This window comes from Homo sapiens, chromosome 17, assembly GCF_000001405.40.
Source record: "Homo sapiens chromosome 17, GRCh38.p14 Primary Assembly".
Classification (NCBI taxonomy): domain Eukaryota; kingdom Metazoa; phylum Chordata; class Mammalia; order Primates; family Hominidae; genus Homo; species Homo sapiens.
This window is the reverse complement of record NC_000017.11, coordinates 4,691,258-4,709,001: the sequence shown is the minus strand read 5'-3', so window position 1 is coordinate 4,709,001 and position 17,744 is coordinate 4,691,258. Positions and strand designations below refer to the sequence as shown.

Sequence of the window (17,744 nt, the reverse complement as noted above, 5' to 3'; positions counted from 1 at the left end):
ACTTGGAGAACCTTTATGTCTAGCTAAGGGATTGTAAATACACCAATCGGCACTCTGTATCTAGCTCAAGGTTTGTAAACACACCAATCAGCACCCTGTGTCTAGCTCAGGGTTTGTGAATGCACCAATCCACACTCTGTATCTAGCTACTCTGGTGGGGACTTGGAGAACCTTTGTGTCTACACTCTGTATCTAGCTAATCTAGTGGGGACGTGGAGAACTTTTGTGTCTAGCTCACGGATTGTAAATGCACCAATCAGCACCCTGCCAAAACAGACCAATCAGCTCTCTGTAAAATGGACCAATCGGCTCTCTGTAAAATGAACCAATCAGCAGGATGTGGGTGGGGCCGATTAGAGAATAAAAGCAGGCTGCCTGAACCGGCAATTGCAATGCACTGGGGTACTCTTCTGTTAGGTAGACCTTTTGTTCTTTTGTTTTTTGCGGTTAAATCTTGCTGCTGCTCCTTTTTTGGGTCTACACTGCCTTTATGAGCTGTAGTACTCGCTGGGAAGGTCTGCAGGTTCACTCCTGAAGCCAGTGAAACCACGAACCCACTAAGAAGAATGAATAACTTCGGAGACACGGCCTTAAGGGGGGTAACACCGCAAAGGCCTGCAGCTTCACTCTTGAGCTAGCGAGACCACGAACCCACCAGAAGGAAGAAACTCTGAACACATCCGAACGTCAGAAGGAACAAACTCCGGATATGCTGCCTTTAAGAACTGTAACACTTGCTGTGAGGGTCCATGGCTTCATTCTTAAAGTCAGTGAGACCCCCTACAAATTCTGGACACTGGTGTTGTGTCGGCTCACTGCAACTTCCATCTCCTGGGTTCCAGCTGTTCTGCCTCAGTCTCCCGGGTAGCTGGGATTACAGGTGTCCACTACCACGCCTCGCTAGTTTATATATATATATTTTAGTAGAGATGGGGTTTCAATATGTTGGCCGGGTTGCTCTTGAACTCCTGACCTCAAATGATCCGCCTGCTTGCGCCTTCCAAAGTGCTGGAATTATAGATGTGAGCCACTGCGCCCAGCCTCTTTTTTTTTTTCTTTTTTAGGAGATGGAGTCTCACTCTGTCACCCTGACTGGAGTGCAGTGGTGGGATCTCGGCTCAACAAAACCCCTGCCTCTTGGGTTCAAGCAATTCTGTGCCTCAGCCTCGTGAGTATCTGGTATTACAGACACCTGCAATGCCTGGCTACTTTTTGTATTTTTAATAGAGACGGGGTTTCACCATGTTGGCCAAGCTGGTCTCGAACGCCTGACCTTGTGTTCCACCTGCCTCAGCCTCCCAAAGTGCTGGAATTGCAGGTGTGAGCCACCGCGCCTGGCTGGGCAGAAGTTGAGAAAGGGCATTTCAAAGAGAGAGACAAGGCACGTCCTGTTGCGTAGTGTTGGTGGGGAAGTCTGGAACAGGCTGTGGAGGATTTTGTATAGCAGATGGAGTGAGATGGAGGGCCCCACAGAAGGACATGTGGAACCAGTACTGGTTTTTAAAGCAGAGGGGGTTGGGTGCAGTGGCTCACGCCTGTAATCCCAGTACTTTGGGAGGCCGAGGGGGGTGGATCACCTGAGGTCAGGAGTTCGAGACCAGTCTGGCTAACATCGTGAAATTTAGCCTATAATCCCAGCTACTCGTGAGGCTGAGCCAGAAGAATCACTTGAACCTGGGAGACGGAGGTTGCAGTGAGCTGAGATCGTGCCGTTATACTCCAGCCTGAGTGAGAATAGTGAAACTTCGTCTCAAAAACAAACGGGCCGCGCGTGGTGGCTCACGCCTGTAATCCCAGCACTTTGGGAGGCTGAGGTGGGCGGATCACGAGGTCAGGAGATCAAGACCATCCTGGCTAACGTGGTGAAACCCTGTCTCCACAAAAAAGTACAAAAAATTAGCCGGCATGGTGGCAGGCGCCTGTAGTCCCAGCTACTTGGGAGGCTGAGGCAGGAGAATGGCCTGAACCTGGGAGGCAGAGCTTGCAGTGAGCCAAGATCGCGCCACTGCACTCCAGCCTGGGTGACAGTGCGAAACTCCATCTCGAGGAAAAAAGAAAACAAAAAACCTCCGAAAAACGAAAAATGAGCCAAATATAGTGGCTAGTGCCTAGAGTCTCATGTACTAGGGAGGCTGAGGTGGGAGGATCGTTTGAGCTGGGAGGTCAAGGCTGCAGTGAGCTGTGATCATGCCACTGCACTCCAGCCTGGGGAAATATTTTTTCAGCACCTTTTATGTACCAGGCACTGTTCTAGGTGATAGGAATAGCATAGTGTAGGAGACAGGAGCCCTTTCATGGAGTTTGTATTTTAGACAAGAGATAGTTAATAAGAAAGCAAATTTCTGGTAATGACATGAATTATAAACAGGCAAATGTGATGGAGGCTGATGGGGGTTGGAGTGGGAGCTACCGAAAAAGAAGTCGTCTCAGGATGGCAAAATGGCGTTAGTTACATAGAATCAAAGGACAGTTTCTCCAGCATAATCAGCAACATGTGCAAAGGTTCGGATGTGAGAATGGGCTTTGCTGGAAAATAGAAGGCTAGCGTGGCTCAAGAATAGGAAGAGAGAAGGAAAAGGGTACTTGTGGTATGTGTTGAGGTCAGGGAGGTGGGTATGAGTCAGATTGGGTGGATTCTTTTAGGCCTCAGTGACGAGATGGGATTTCATTCTCATCACATTTGGAAGCCACAGAGGGGTTGAAGCTAGGAGTGACAACAACTTGTTTACATTTGAAAAGACCACTTTGGTTGCTGTGTGAAGGGACTACAGGGTGCTAAGAGGGAAGCAGAGAGCAACGAAGGCTTTGTAATAGACTAGGTGAGAGTGAATGGTAATTTGGACCGGAGCGGCAGTGGAGATGGAGAAAAATTAACGCTATTGGGTTAATGTATTTTGGAGGCCTTGAATGCCAGGACTTGAAGGATTGGATAGGAGGCAATAAGAGGAAAAACGGGCCAGGTGGGGTGGCTCACACCTGTAATCCCAGGACTTTGGGAGGCTGAGGCCGGCAGATCACTTGAGGTCAGGAGTTTGAGACCAGCCTGGCCAACATGGTGAAGCCCCGTCTCTACTAAAAATACAAAAATTAGCTGGGCATGGTGGTGGGTGCCTGTACTTCCAGCTACTTGGGAGGCTGAGGTAGGAGAATCACTTGAACTTGGGAGGCGGAGGTTGCAGTGAGCCGAGATCGTGCCATTGCACTCTAGCCTGGGCGACAGAGAGACTCCTCAAAAAAAGAAAAATGATGACTCTTGGATTTGAATCTAACAATCACAAAAGTACACAAACATAAACATAGAGGTATTAGCGTGTTCACTACAGTTTGCATTAGCAAAAAGCTGGAGCAGCCTTTAAGCATTAATTCAGCAATAGAATTATTAAATCATGGTGCACCCATTTCATTCATACCACAGTTTAAAAAACAGCATAAAGAAGGCCATGAGTGAAAACAAGCCACACGCAGACCCCAATCTTGTAAAATATTCATTTATGTGCTTGTGCATAGACTAATATTAGGAAAGTATACACGCTACTGGGGCAGGGCTTTGCGGGGGAGGAGCAGTTTTTCTTTTTACTTTATGCCTTTCTGTACTGTTTGAATTGGCTTTTGCAAGGCGCACGTCTTGTATCATTTCTGAAGTTGCAAATGTAGTTAAAAATGTCTGTGATTTCAAGTTACCTAGAGAGTTATTGATTCCTTCTCTTTCCCTGCCGCTGCCGAGTTGCGCGGAGGCGGAGGCTTGGGTACCTTCAAGATTCAGCTTCACTTGTAACCCACCGCCACGGCCGAGGAAGGCATTGCTGCTGGAGGGGTAATGGATGTTAATACTGCTTCACAAGAGGTGCTGAAGACCGCTCTCATCCACCATGACCTAGCACGTGGAATTCGCGAAGCTGCCAAAGCCTTAGACAAACGCCAAGCCCATCTTTGTGTGCTTGCATCCAACTATGATGAGCCTACTATGTATGTCAAGTTGGTGGAGGCCTTTGTGCTGAACACCAAATCAACCTAATTAAGGTTGATGACAACAAGAAACTAGGAGAATGGGTAGGGCTCTGTAAAAATCGACAGAGAGGGGAAACCCCGTAAAGTGGTTGGTTGCAGTTGTGTAGTAGTTAAGGACTATGGCAAGGAGTCTCAGGCCAAGGATGACATCGAAGAGTACTTGAAATGCAAGAAATGAAGAAATAAATCTTTGGCGCGCGTACACACACACACACGTTACTGATTCCTAGGCAGGGTGCGGTGGCTCATGCCTGTAATCTCAGCACTTTGGGAGGCCAAGGCGGGCGGAACACCTGAGGTCAGGAGTTCAAGACCATCCTGGCCAACATGGTGAAACCCCATCTCTACAAAAATACAAAAAAAATTAGCCGGGCGTGGTGGCGCGCGACTGTAATCCCATCTACTCGGGAGGCTGAGGCAGGGAAATCGCTTGAACCTGGAAGGTGGAGGTTGCGGTGAGCCGAGATCGCGCCACTGCACTCCAGCCTGGGCCACAGAGCGAGACTCCGTCTCAAAAAAAAAAAATGAGAGTTATTGATTCCTACAGCGAAGATGTCCCAAGACTCCGTCCGCTAAATGGAAATCGTTCCGACTTTGGCGCCTTTTGTCCGGACCACGTGTACCTTTAACATCACAGGACCGCCTCGGACACGCTCACAGGCAGCCTCATCCGCCATCACTCCGGGAACCGAGCACCCCGCTGCCTCGGCGCCCAGGCTGCTCTCTCCGCGCATGCTCCTTCCCAGCTTGAGCCCGCGAGTCCAGCCTGCCTTCACTCAGTGCGCAAGACCGCAGCCCCCTCCCCACGCCCCCTCCCCAGTAGGCGGCCGTCGCGGTGTGTTTGCGTCATCGCGCCACGCCACCACTGGAACCCGGGGGAAGATGGCGGCAGCCGTTCTGAGTGGGCCCTCTGCGGGCTCCGCGGCTGGGGTTCCTGGCGGGACCGGGGGTCTCTCGGCAGTGAGCTCGGGCCCGCGGCTCCGCCTGCTGCTGCTGGAGAGTGTTTCTGGTTTGCTGCAACCTCGAACGGGGTCTGCCGTTGCTCCGGTGCATCCCCCAAACCGCTCGGCCCCACATTTGCCCGGGCTCATGTGCCTATTGCGGCTGCATGGGTCGGTGGGCGGGGCCCAGGTGAGTCCGTGGCCCGCGTGCCCGCGGCCCTGTGGGGAGGATGGCGCGGCACCTGTGCGCCGGGATTACGGTGCAGTGCAAGTGCGATAGGGAGGTTGAAGGAAGGAGAGCTGCGGGCAGAAAGGGGATCCAGGTATCAGTCCGGACGGGATGCACGTATTTCTCCTTTATCGGCCATGAGTTTCTCCAGGGGAAAAATGGGCCTTATTTTTCTGTTGTTAGGCTATTGGTCGGCACACAGGAATCGATTAGGTTCCAGGCCCGGTCACTCACTAGTTGTATAATCTAAAAGTCTCTTTTTCCTCTGGCAATATCTGTTTCGGGGATTGTTTCGACTGACTGAATGACGCATTCAACAATAAACATTTACCGAGCTCTTATTGAGGGTCAGATACTGTACTAGGCGCTCCGGTTACAGACGTGGTGGCGATACACAAAATGCTGCGAAACAAGATGAGAATTGAATATCAGGGGTCTCTAACCTTATCTGAAGACTGGCAGAGATTTTTCCAAAGAAACCGGCGTTTAAGCTGAGACCCTAAGGATGAATAGGGGTTGGGTAGGGAAAAAATATGGGAGGGGCTGTTCAGTCAGAGGAGAGCTCATGTGGGAAGACCCTGTGGTAGGAAGGAACTGGAAAGAAGGGCATCGTTCCTGGGGCTCAGATGTGGAGGGGAAGAGAGTGGGTACAGATGAGACTGGTGAGATGGGTAGGCAGTGGTCGGGTCATGCAGAGCGTTTTAGGCCGGGTTAGGAGCCTTTGGACTTCTATAAGAATGGAATCTGATAACCATTCAGTTCTGCAAGCTAGACACTCAAGTAATTCTAAACTCTTCTTCATACACCTCCATAAGCAATCTGTCAAGTCCTGTTGATTTTATCCTTTGAGTAGTTTTCAGATCTGTCCACTCTTTTCCATCTTTCTCATTGCTCCCATTCTAGCTTGAACCCCCACCATCTTGTCCGGGTGAAGGCACTGATTCTAAGAAGGCATATTTCTAGCCCATAATAGCTGCTCCTTATAACAATCTCCTATCTTCCCTTCTCTCCCACTAAACCTCCCCCAAATTCTACCCATCCTTCAAGACCCATAAACACGAGATCTTCTGTGTCCACCCTTCATTCCTGGGACCTTCCTAGCTCTATGCTACCTTCCAGGAAGATGGTTGTCACAATTTGCTGGGTGGGTCAATAACCTTAGCCCCAGATTTATCACAGATAACCCTATCTGTTTGTCTTTAACATTACTCTGCATAATTGAGGGTGACAAAACTATATCTCTGCTATCTCAGCCCAATATCAGAGGCTGGAGCTGATTATGTATTTTCTCTTGTCTCTAAATTCCCCTCTTCTAATTTATGTGGTTTTCATCAGTCAGTTATATTACAGTGGGGTTTTTCTGTTTTCTTTATCTCACAATAGTCCCAGAATTATTATTATTTTTGAGACAAGGTCTTACTCTGTCACCCAGGTTGGAGTGCAGTGGCATGATCTTGGCTCACTGCAACCTCCATTTCCCAGCCTCAAGGGATCCTCCCACCTCAGCCTCCAGAGTAGCTGGGACCACAGGCATGCGCCACCATGCCCGGCTAATTTTTGTATTTTTGGTAGAGACGGGGTTTTGCCATGTTGCCCAGGCTGGTCTCAAAGTCCCGAGTTCAGGCGATTCACTTGCCTTGGCTTCCCAAAGTGCTGGAATTACAGGCACGGGCCACCATGCCTTGCCCCCCAGAAATTTTTTTTATAAGTATTTGTGAAATATTACCTATCCCGCCTATAAATGTGTGATTTCTTTCATCATCTCTTTCAGGACTTCCTCTCCTCCCTCAAAGTCAACTACATGAACTTAACGTCTTGCTTATTTTTCTTACATGTCTGAAGTCTAGTAGAATTTTGAGTAAAGAAGCTAAGAGTGATGTGGGAAACTAGGGCCGCCCTTTAATATTTCCTGTGCTACTTGTTTAGATACATCCTGCCTTGAATTTTTTTTCTACTTGTGTCCTTTGAATTGGGATTATGTGGAGGATTTCCTTTCCTTCCCCAAAGGTTTCATTCAACAAACATTTATTGAGTATCTGTTATGTTTTACGTACTGTTCCTCGTCTCTAGGTAGATAAATAAGACATGGTCCTTTCCCTCAGAGAATTTCTAGTCTAGTTAAGATGAGAAATGAAAGTCAGCAATAGACCTGGAGCTTGCGAGCAAGGGGGATCCACTGTTTGATCATCCACCTACCAACATGGCTTTTCCGCAGGTACTGCAAGCTCAGTAGTTCCAAAATGGAATGATCCTAGCACAGTGCTCCATATCTAGCTTGGAGTATATTATAGCAACAATCTTCTAACGGGTCTCCTTACCTTCAGTCTTGCCCTCTGTAATCCGTTCCCCACACAGTAGCTGGAGTGAGCTTTCTAAAGTAAAATTCTGATCCTGTTTGCAGCTTTTAAAAATCCTTCAGCCTCTGGGTGTTCTTTCCTCAGAGGCTTTGTACTTACTCTTCTCTTGGAATCCCTCCCTGTGCAGTGCCCCCACCCCCCCAACTCTCATCCTCCTTCCCAGTCTTCTCAATTCTTTGCTTATTTGTCACTGCCTTTGGGATATATTTCTTGGCCACCTATGATTGACTGCTCTTTATCCTACTGTCTGTTTATTTATTTCACATATACTTATAACCTCTCTCCCCTACATTCAGCAAGTCTTTGATTTGTTCTTGTATGTAATTAATAAAACTTATATAAAATTTCAGACATAAATAGTATTTTCCCCACCCCACCCTATGCTGCCCCCATCACTCAAATTTAACAGTGAACGTTTGCCAATGTTATTTCATTCCTCCCATAGCTTGGCTTTTTTTTTTTTTTTTTTTTTTTAGTGGAACTTTGCTTTTTCTTTCTTTCTCTTTTTCTTTTCTTTTCTTTTCTTTTTTTTTTTTTTGAGATAGGGCCTTACTCTAACTCAGGCTGGAGTGCAGTGGCCAGATTATGGCTCACTGCGGCCTTGGCCTCAACCTCCCAGGTTCAAGTAATCCTTCCACCTCAGCCTCCCGAGTAGCTGGGACTACAGGTGTGCCACCACCCCTGGCTAATTTAAAAATTTTTTTTGTAGACATGGGGGCTTTATATGTTGTCCAGGCTGGTCTTGAACTCCTGAACTCAAGTGATACTCCCGCCTTGGCCCCCCAAAATCCTGGGATTACAGAGGTGAACCACCGTGCTCAGCTTGGTGGACCATTTTAAAGCAAATCCCAAATGTCATTTATCCTGTATATTCTTTTGAAGGACAAAAACAGTGTCTTGTTCTGTCTTCTACGTAGGCCTCAGCCTCCTGAGTAGCTGGGATTACAGGCACCTGCCACCATACCCAGCTAATTTTGTATTTTTAGTAGAGACGGAGTTTCACCATGTTGGTCAGGCTGGTCTCGAACTTCTGACCTCAAGTTATCCTCCCCACTCGACCTCCCAAAGTGCTGAGAATACAGGCATGAGCCACCACATCCGGCCACTTTTTGTCGTATTTTAGAGTGTACTCCTACTTAAATAAAAAAATCTTCCTGCCTCAGCCTCCCAAAATGTTGGGATTACAGGGATGAGCCACTGCACCTGGCCTCTCTTTTTGTTGGATCATTTTCATCAGCATACAGGCTCAAAACTTCATCCTCGGCCAGGCGTGATGGCTCACGCCTGTAATCCCAGCACTTTGGGAGGCCAAGGTGGGTGGATCACAAGGTCAGGAGTTTAAGACCAGCCTGGCCAAGATGGTGACCCCGTCTGTATTAAAAATACAAAAATTAGCCAGGCGCAGTGGCAGGCATCTGTAATCCTGTAATCCCAGCCATTCAGGAGGCTGAGGCAGGAGAATCGCTTGAACTCGGGGCAGAGGTTGCAGTGAGCCGAGATCGCGCCTCTGCACTCTAGCCTGGGTGATAGAGTGAAACTCTGTCTCAAAAAAAAAAAAAAAAAAAAAAATCACCCTCTAGGGCTGGGTGCAGTGACTCACATCTGTAATCCCAGCACTTTGGGAGGCTGAGATGGGTAGATCATTTGATGCCAGGAGTTCGAGACCAGCCTGACCAACATGGCGAAACCTCATCTTTACTAAAAATGCAAAAATTAGCTGGGCGTGGTGACGCATGCCTGTAATCCCAGCTAATCAGGAGACTGAGGCAGGAGAATTGCTTGAGCCTGGGAGGCAGACATTGCAGTGAGCCGAGATTGCGCCTGCGAACTCTGGCCTGGGCAACAGAGGGAGACTTTGTCTCAAAAAACAAACAAATCACCCTCTAGCTACTGCCTCATTTGCCATTTGTGTACTTCCTTTTATGGCAAAAACTCCTTGAAAGTGTTATCTGTACTTTTTGTCTCTCCTTCTTCTTCTTTTAGCGTTACTTTGAAATAACTGAAAATTTACAGAAAAGTTGGAACAATATTTGAAAGAATTTCAATATATACCCTTCTCCTAGATTCTCCATTTTTTTTTTCTTTTTGAGATGGAGTCTTGCTTTGTTGCCCAGGCTGGAGTGCAGTGGTGCGATTTTGGCTCACTGCAAGCTCTGCCTCCCGGGTTCACGTCATTCTCCTGTCTCAGCCTCCCAAAGTAGCTGGGACTACAGTTGCCCACCACCATGCCCGGCTATTTTTTTGTATTTTTAGTGGAGACGGGGTTTCACCGTGTTAGCCAGGACGGTCTCAATCTCCTGACCTCGTGATCCGCCCGCCTCGGCACTCGAAGTGCTGGGATTACAGGCCTGAGCCACCGCACCTGGCTGGATTCTTCAGTTTTTAAATGCATATTTATGTTATTCTGATAATGACAGATCTCCTAAACTATCATTCTGAGAATAACATAAATGCACATTTGAAAACTGGAGAATTCTGGGTGAAGAGGATACAGGAATTCTTTCAGATATTTTTTCTGGGTCCATTTAGGAGTAAGTTGCAGATATGTCCTTTTACTTTGACATATTTTAGTGTGTATTTCCTTAAAAACAAGGACATTCTCTTACATAATCATACTCTATCATCATGATCAGAGAATTAATATTGGTACAATAAATTATTTAACCTACAGATCTTTTTTAAGTTTTGCCATCAGTTCTCCTAAAGGCATCCATTATAACAACAACAACAACAACAACATTTCTAGTCCAGGATTTAATGCAGGATCACATGTTGCATTTAGTTGTTTTTTTTGTTGTTGTTTGTTTTGCCTTGTTTTTTTTTTTTTGAGACAATCTCAGTCTGTTGCCTAGGCTGGAGTGCCGTGGCATGATCTTGGCTCACTGGAACCTCCGCCCCCTGGGTTTAAGCGATTCTCCTGCCTCAGCCTCCCAAGTAGCTGGGATTACAAGCGCCTGCTACCATGCCTGGCTAATTTTTTTTCTTTTTTTTTTTTTAGTAGCGATGGGGTTTCGCCATGTTGGCCAGGCTGGTCTCGAACTCCTGACCTCAGATCATCCACCCGCGTTGTCCTCCCGAAGTGCTGGCGTGAGCCACCGCGCCCAGCTTGCTTTTAGTTATAATGTCTCTTTAGTATTCTTTAATCTGAAATAGTTCTTCAGCCTTTGTCTTATGATCTTGATATTTTTAAAGAGTACAGAATAGTTATTTCGTAGGATGCCCCTCAGGTTAGGATCTAATCATGAGGAAACAGCAGACAAATTAAACTGGAGATTTGTGCGTTTTCAGCAAGAATACTGCAGAAGTCGTCCAGGTGCAGTGGCTCATGCCTGTTATCCCAGCATGAGATTCAGAGGCTTAGTGGGAGGCCGAAGTGGGAGGATCACTGAGTGCAGGAGTTCAAGACTAGCTTGGGCAACATGGCAAGACCCTATCTCTACAAAAAAAAAAAAAAAAAACCTTGCAGAAATGATGTGTCATTCTTGGTGCATCACATCAGGAGCACGTATTCTAGGTTAAGCAGGTCTCTGCCAGATTTCTTCACTGTTATAAAGGTATGATTTTTTTTTTTTCCATTTGTAGTTAAGTGTCTTGGGGGGAGATAATGTGAATGTCTTAGGTCTTGTCAACCTTTCACCCACTCATTTTAACATCTATTAAAGGTTCTTCCCTGAATGAATTATTACTATGATGGTTGTTCCGTTGAACTCATTACATTCAGGCTTTTAGCCTAAATGCTGCCGAAACAACCCTTTGCTGGGTGAAATGGTAACTCTTGAAGATCACTGGTGTCCATCAAGACATTAAGTTCAAAGGTCAATTTGGGTCATCATATTTGACTTATCGCTACCATTTGATACAGTTAATTATACTTTCCTATTTAAAAAACTGTCTTCACTTGACTTCTGGGATATCTCTCCCCTGTCTTTTTGTTTTTGTTTGTTTGTTTCATTGAGACAGGGTCTCGCTGTGTTGCCCAGGCTGGAGTGCAGTGGCGCGATCATAGCTTACTGCATCCTTGATCTTCCAGGCTGAGGCAGTCCGCCCTGCTCAGCCTTCTGGGTAGCTGGGACCACAGGTGTGTGCCCCCACACCCAGCTAATCTGTTTGATTTTTAGTAGAAACAAGGTCTCGCTATGTTGCTGAGGCTGGTCTTGAACTCTTGAGCTCAAGCAGTCTTCCCACTTTAGCCTCCTAAAGTACTGGGATTATAGGCGTTAGTCACCCTCCCAGCCCCTCTCCTCTCCTCTCGATTCTCCTGTTATCACACTGGTTACTCCTTTCCAGTAAAGACTGATCCCTCCTCACCTCTGTGACCTCTGAAGGTTTGAGTGCCTACAACCCAGGCCTTGCACTGTTTCTCTTCTCTTTACTCTTATTCCCTTGGTGAACTGATCCAGTCTCAAGGCCCACACCTCTTGAGTTTACATCTCCAGCCAGAAGTTCTCTTCACACTTGTCTAGCCGGTGCCTATTTGGCATCTCCGTTTTCATGTTAAATACACATCACAGATTGAACAGATCTGAAACTGAGCTCCCTATTGTCACCCCAAAACCTGCTCCTCCTGCATTAGTTCCCTTCTCGGTGAATGGCAGCTTCATCTTTCTAGTTGTTCAGCAAAAAACCTTGGCATTATCTTGGACCCTTCTTTTTATTTTCCACCCATATCCAGTTTGACGGCACATCCCGTTGGCTCTACCTTCACAGTACTTCCTGATTTTGACTGCTTTGTATCGCCACAGTTACCACATTCTTCAAGCTGCATCATCATTTGTCTGGAATATTACAGTAACCTTCTACCTCATCTGTTTGCTTCTGCCTTCTCAACAAGACAACACAAATGCTGTTGATTAAAAACAAAGCAAAACAAAAAGCAAACCAGAAGTCAGATATTGTCACTCCTGTGCGCAATTTCTCTCTCCCCCTCGTGGCTTTTATCTTACTCAGGGTGAAAGTCGGTAATCACCTATATGTCTCTGCACAGTCTGGTCCCACTCCCTTAACCTTCATCATTGGTTACTCCTCTCCACCTTGCTCACTTTTCTCCATCAACAATTTGTCTCCTTGTTGTTCTTTGGAAATAACGAAGTATGCTCTCATCTCATAGTCTTCGCTCTTTTTATTTTTCTTTTTTGAGACAGGATGTTGCTTTGCTGTTCAGGCTGGAGTGTAGTGGTGGCGATCATGGCTCACTGCAGTCTTGACCTCCCGGGGTCAAGCAGCCCTCCCACCTTAGCCTCCCAAGTAGCTGTGACCACAGGTGCCCTCCACCATGTTCGGCTAATTTTTAAAAATTCTTTGTGGAGAATGGGGGTCTCCCTCGGTTGCACAGGCTGATCTTGACCTCCTGGGCTCAAGCCATCCTCCTGCCTTGGCCTCCCAGTGTTGGGATTACAGTCATGAGCCCCTTGCCCAGCCTGTTTTTTTTTTTTTTCTTTTCCTGGAACACTCTTTTTTTTATGGTTATCAGTATGCCTTTTTATAAAAACAGCTTTACTGCGGGGGTTCATGGTGGTTCACTCCTGTAATCCCAGCACTTTCGGAGGCCAAGGTGGGCGGATCACCTGAGGTCAGGAGTTGGAGACCAGCCTGACCAATATGGTGAAACCACACCACCACGTCTGGCTAATTTTTGTATTTTTAGTAGATTTTTAGATGTTTAGTTTCGCCACGTTGGCAAGGCTGTTCTCAAACTCCTAACCTCAAATGATCTGCCCACCTTGGCCTCCCCAAGTGCTGGGATTACAGGCGTGAATCACTGCCCCCTGCCAGATTTTTTTTTTTTTTTTTTTTTTTTTTAAGAGAGAGGGTCTCACTCTTTTGCCCAGGCTGGAGTATAGTAGTGTGTTCATAGCTCACTGCAGCCTTGAACGCCTGGATTCAAGCGATCCTTCTGCCTCAGCCTCCCGAGTAGCTGGGACTGCAGGTGCATGCCATTGCACCTGGCTAATTTTTAAAAATTTTTGTAGAGATGGTGTCTCTCTGTGTTGCCCAGGCTGGTATGGAACTCCTGGCCTCAAGTGATTCGCCTGCCTTGGTTTCCCAGAATTTTGGGATTATAGGCCACCGTGCCTGGCCAAAACAGCTTTATTGAGAAATAATTCACAAACCATACAATTTAGCCATTTTATTTATTTATTTTTTCCAGACGGAGTCTCACTCTGTTGCCGAGGCTGGAGTGCAGTGGCGTGATCTCGGCTCACTGCGACCTCTGCCTCCCGGGTTCAAGCGATTCTCCTGCCTCAGCCTCCCTAGTAGTTGGGATTACGGGCGCCCGCCACCATGTCCGGCTAATTTTTGTATTTTTCAGTAGAGACGGGTTTTCATCATGTTGGCCAGGCTGGTCTCAAACTCCTGACCTCGTGATCCACCCGCTTCGGCTGCCCAAAGTGCTGGAATTACAGGCATGAGCCACGGTGCCTGGCCTTTTATTTTTTTCGAAATGGAGTCTCACATTGTCACCCAGGCTGGAGTACAGTGGTGCAATCTTGGCAAACTGCAATTTCTGCATCCTGGGTTCAAGCGATTCTCCCGGGTTCAAGCGATTCTCCCGGGTTCAAGCGATTCTCTCAGGTTCAAGCGATTCTCCTTCCTTAGCCTCCCGAGTAGCTGGGATTACAGGCGCCCACCACCACGCCTGGCTAATTTTTGTATTTTTAGTAGAGCCGGGGTTTCACCATGTTGGCCAGGCTGGTCTTGAACTCCTGACCTCATGATCCACCTGCCTCGGCCCCCCAAAGTGCTGGCATTACAGGCGTAAGCCACCGCGCCCGGCCCATTTTATTTTTATTTTATTTTATTTTTTTTGAGGTGGAGTCTCATTCTGTCACCCAGGCTGGAGTGCAGTGTCACGATCTTGGCTCATTGCGACCTCCGCCTCCCGTTCTCAAGCGGTTCTCCTGCCTCAGCCTTTGGAGTAGCTGGGATTACAGGCGCCTGCCACCACGCCTGGCTGATTTTTTTTTTTTTGTATTTTTGGTAGAGATGGCGTTTCACCATGTTGGCCAGGCTGGTCTCAAACCCCTGACCTCAGGTGGTCTGCCCACCTTGGCCTCCCAAAGTACTGGGATTATAGGCATGAGCCACTGCGCCCGGCCACAGTTCACTCACTTAGAGTATACAATTCCGTGGATTTAGTATATTTGCAGAGTTGTGCGGTCATTGCTGTGCTCAGTTTTGGAACATTTTCATCACTCCATAAAGAAATTCTGTACCCACTTACAGTCATTCCCATTGCCCACCAAGCCCTCCCTGGCTGCCTCCAGCTTTAGGCAAACAGTAATCTACTTTTTTTCTTTAGAGATTTGCCTATTCTGGCCATTTGATAGAAATGAATTGTATAATATGTAGCCTTTGGGTTTGGCTTCTTTCACTTAGCAGTCAGTTTTCAAGGTTCATCCATGTGTCAAGACTTTATTACTCTTTTCTGTTTTGCTGTGTTGGGTCTTGTGTTGCCTAGGCTGGATTCAAACTCTCAGGATTAGTCAAGTGATTCTTATGCCTCAGCCTCCCAAGTAGCTGGGACTACAGGCGGGTGCCATTGTGCCCGGCTAAAACTTCATTCCTATTTATGGCCTTTTATGCAATAGTCCCCTCTTATCTGTGCTTTCCCTTTCCATGGTTTTACTTACCTGTGGTCAACCGTGGTCTGAAAATATTAGGTGGAAAATTCCAGAAATAAGTAATTCATAAGTTTTAAATTACGTGCCATTCTGAGCAGCGTGATGGACTCTCGAGGAGTTCTGCTTCATCCTACCTGGGACGTGAATCGGACATGAATCATCCTTTTGTCCAGTGTATCCATGTTGCACATGCTCCCTGCCTGAGGGTCATCTTGTAACCATCTCGGTGATCAGATCCACTGTGGCGGTATTGCAGTGCTCGTGTTCAAGTCACCTTTATTTTACTTCATAATGGCCCAAAGCGTAAGAGTAGAGATGCTGGCATATTATTATAGTTGCTGTACTGTATTATTAGTGGTTGTTAATCTCTTACTGTGCCTAACTGATAAAATCTTTCATAGGCTTGTATGTATAGGAAAAAAACAGTTTATGTAGGGTTTGGTAGTATCCGAAGTTTCTGAGGTTTCAGGCACCTGCCTGGGGTTTTGGAAGCACCCCCTGCAGATAAGGGGGCGCTGCTGCACTATATTTGATCTGTTCACCAGTGGGTGGACGTTTGGGTTGTTTTCCCATTTTGGTTATTATGAATGATGCTGCTGTGAACGTCCATGTACAAGTTGTTGTGAGGATGTAGGTTTTCATTTCTCTTGGGTATATACGTAGGGTGGAATGGCTGGGTCATGTGTTCACTCTATGTATAACTTTTTGAGGAACTGCCAGATTGCTTTCCAGAGTGGCTGCGCCATTTTATATTTGTGGTAAATATTTGAGAGTATCAATACATCTTGTTCTCACTTTCCTTTAGGTCTCTGCTAAATGGCTTTTTCTTTTTTTGAGATGGAGTTTTGCTCTTGTTGCCCAGGCTGGAGTGCAATGGTGTGATCTCAGCTCACTGCAACCTCTGCCTCCTGGGTTCAAGCGAGTCTCCTGCCTCAGCCTCCCGAGTAGCTGGGATGACAGGCGCGTGTCACCATAACTAGCTAATTTTTCTATTTTTAGTAGAGACGGGGTTTCACCATGTTGGCCAGGCTGGTCTCGAACTCCTGACCTCAGGTGACCCACCTGCCTCGGCATCCCAAAGTGCTGGGATTACAGGCGTGAGCTACCACGCCCGGCCTAAATGGCCTTTTTGGAGATGCTTTTTGTATCTACTCTCCTAAATAAAATCCTGTCCCCTTTGCCTACTCTGGGCACTCCTTTCCTTCCTTACTCTGCTTTATTTTTCCTTGGAGTTCTTAGCACCCTCTGATATACTATGTATTTACTTTGTCAGTTGTTTATTTTCTGTCTCCTCTTAACTAGAAAATAAGTACCTGGCACCTAAAATAAGGTCTCACATGAAGTATATATCAAGTAAATATTTTCTTTTTTTTTTTTTGAGACAGAGTCTCGCTCTGTTGCCCAGGCTGGAGTGCAGTGGCATGATCTCGGCTCACTGCAAACTCCGTCTCCTGGGTTCACGCCATTCTCCTGCCTCAGCCTCCCGAGTAGCTGGGACTACAGGTGCCCGCCACCATGCCCGGCTAATTTTTTGTATTTTTAGTAGAGACGGGGTTTCACCATGTTAGCCAGGATGGTCTCGATCTCCTGACCTCGTGATCCGCCTGCTTTGGCCTCCCAAAGTGCTGGGATTACAGGCGTGAGCCACTGCGCCCGGCCATGTCAAGTAAATATTTATTTAACGAATAAATATTTCCCTCCACAAAAGGGAGAGACCTTATTAATTTTATTCAGCTCTGTATTCCTTCACGTAACCTCATGCATAGTGTATGTGTTGGAAGAAGGAACGATGCACGCCGTTAGGGAGACGCGGGTGCCGTGAGAGGAGGCTGGCCATTTGGGGCATGGAGAGGTTACCTGGGGGGCTGATGAGGAAACATCTTTCGTGGGCTTCCAGAATGTGAGAGAAGGGGAGAACTGGAAGGAGGATTCTTGTTGACTCGGTCTGTGTTGGCATTTTTACAGCTGTAAGGAAGCCAGGAATAGGGGGAGGAGGATTTGTTTGAGGGTGAAGGAAGGATAATGGATGAGTTCAGTGTCCATTCAGCAAGCATTTATGGATGTCTCCTATTAGGTGCTGCCCAGACATATAGAGGTGAAGCAGACCCATCTTTGAAGTCTGGTAGTGGGATTAGTTGGGCTGTCCTGTGTTTGGCACTACTTGGGTGGGGCATGGAGGGAAGGATCAGGCAAAATATAACTTGAGGAAAGGCCGAGAAACAGCCTTTCCCACAGGAAAAAAGGGGAAAAGCTCAAGGCTTCTAGTGGGATGGCCTTTTGGCCTCAGAGGAGATGTGACTTCAGAAAGGCTTCATAGGTGCTGGGACAGAGAAGGGCTTGAAGAATCTTCTGCATTTTTAACATCCCGTTTGTGACTCGCTTCCCTGTTTTCTTTCCTCCAGAACCTTTCAGCTCTTGGGGCATTGGTGAGTCTCAGTAATGCACGTCTCAGTTCCATCAAAACTCGGTAAGTCTTTGGCCCTTTTTTTTCTCCAGGGGCGTGTTCCCTTAGGAAGTGGGCATATGTACATCTTTGCTTTCATTGTCACCGTCCCCAGGATTCAAGACCTCTCTCTATTCCCAAGAG

The 17,744-nt window shown here is 47.0% G+C and overlaps 1 protein-coding gene, 1 long non-coding RNA gene and 1 pseudogene across 3 annotated transcripts in view, besides 6 other annotated features; 2 read left to right on the top strand and 1 right to left on the bottom strand.

The window, feature by feature from the left end:
- Positions 1 to 3,472: 3,472 nt before the first annotated feature.
- PELP1-DT (PELP1 divergent transcript) lies at positions 3,473 to 4,772 on the bottom strand. Its single transcript, NR_103482.1, has 2 exons — positions 4,632 to 4,772; positions 3,473 to 3,803 (listed from the first exon to the last, which is right to left on the bottom strand). It is a non-coding gene; the product is annotated as a PELP1 divergent transcript (long non-coding RNA).
- Positions 3,703 to 4,203, top strand: RPS12P29 (ribosomal protein S12 pseudogene 29; annotated as a pseudogene).
- A 92-nt stretch (positions 4,773 to 4,864) lies between the features above and the next one.
- PELP1 (proline, glutamate and leucine rich protein 1) overlaps positions 4,865 to 17,744 on the top strand; it is a 34,364-nt gene continuing 21,484 nt past the window's right edge. For both annotated transcript variants that reach the window (NM_014389.3, NM_001278241.2), the window contains exons 1-2: positions 4,865 to 5,139; positions 17,560 to 17,624. In NM_014389.3, the coding sequence (NP_055204.4) occupies positions 4,891 to 5,139; positions 17,560 to 17,624 (314 nt within the window). In that variant the 5' untranslated portion in view covers positions 4,865 to 4,890. The remainder of the gene's footprint in view (positions 5,140 to 17,559; positions 17,625 to 17,744) is intronic.
- Positions 10,480 to 10,649: an enhancer, noted in NCBI's record as "experimental_47214 CRE fragment used in MPRA reporter constructs". NCBI's record gives its function as "activates a minimal promoter by MPRAs in K562 erythroleukemia cells, with activity observed for the non-introgressed 17:4601733 variant allele {active_cell/tissue: K562}" and the evidence as "EXISTENCE:reporter gene assay evidence [ECO:0000049][PMID:34662402]".
- Positions 11,558 to 11,727: an enhancer, noted in NCBI's record as "experimental_47211 CRE fragment used in MPRA reporter constructs". NCBI's record gives its function as "activates a minimal promoter by MPRAs in K562 erythroleukemia cells, with activity observed for the introgressed 17:4600655 variant allele {active_cell/tissue: K562}" and the evidence as "EXISTENCE:reporter gene assay evidence [ECO:0000049][PMID:34662402]".
- Positions 12,357 to 12,426: an enhancer, noted in NCBI's record as "active region_11544". NCBI's record gives its function as "activates an Ori minimal core promoter by ATAC-STARR-seq in GM12878 lymphoblastoid cells {active_cell/tissue: GM12878}" and the evidence as "EXISTENCE:reporter gene assay evidence [ECO:0000049][PMID:35858748]".
- Positions 13,620 to 13,789: an enhancer, noted in NCBI's record as "experimental_47209 CRE fragment used in MPRA reporter constructs". NCBI's record gives its function as "activates a minimal promoter by MPRAs in K562 erythroleukemia cells, with activity observed for both the introgressed and non-introgressed 17:4598593 variant alleles {active_cell/tissue: K562}" and the evidence as "EXISTENCE:reporter gene assay evidence [ECO:0000049][PMID:34662402]".
- Positions 15,534 to 15,703: an enhancer, noted in NCBI's record as "experimental_47207 CRE fragment used in MPRA reporter constructs". NCBI's record gives its function as "activates a minimal promoter by MPRAs in K562 erythroleukemia cells, with activity observed for both the introgressed and non-introgressed 17:4596679 variant alleles {active_cell/tissue: K562}" and the evidence as "EXISTENCE:reporter gene assay evidence [ECO:0000049][PMID:34662402]".
- Positions 16,725 to 16,894: an enhancer, noted in NCBI's record as "experimental_47206 CRE fragment used in MPRA reporter constructs". NCBI's record gives its function as "activates a minimal promoter by MPRAs in K562 erythroleukemia cells, with activity observed for the non-introgressed 17:4595488 variant allele {active_cell/tissue: K562}" and the evidence as "EXISTENCE:reporter gene assay evidence [ECO:0000049][PMID:34662402]".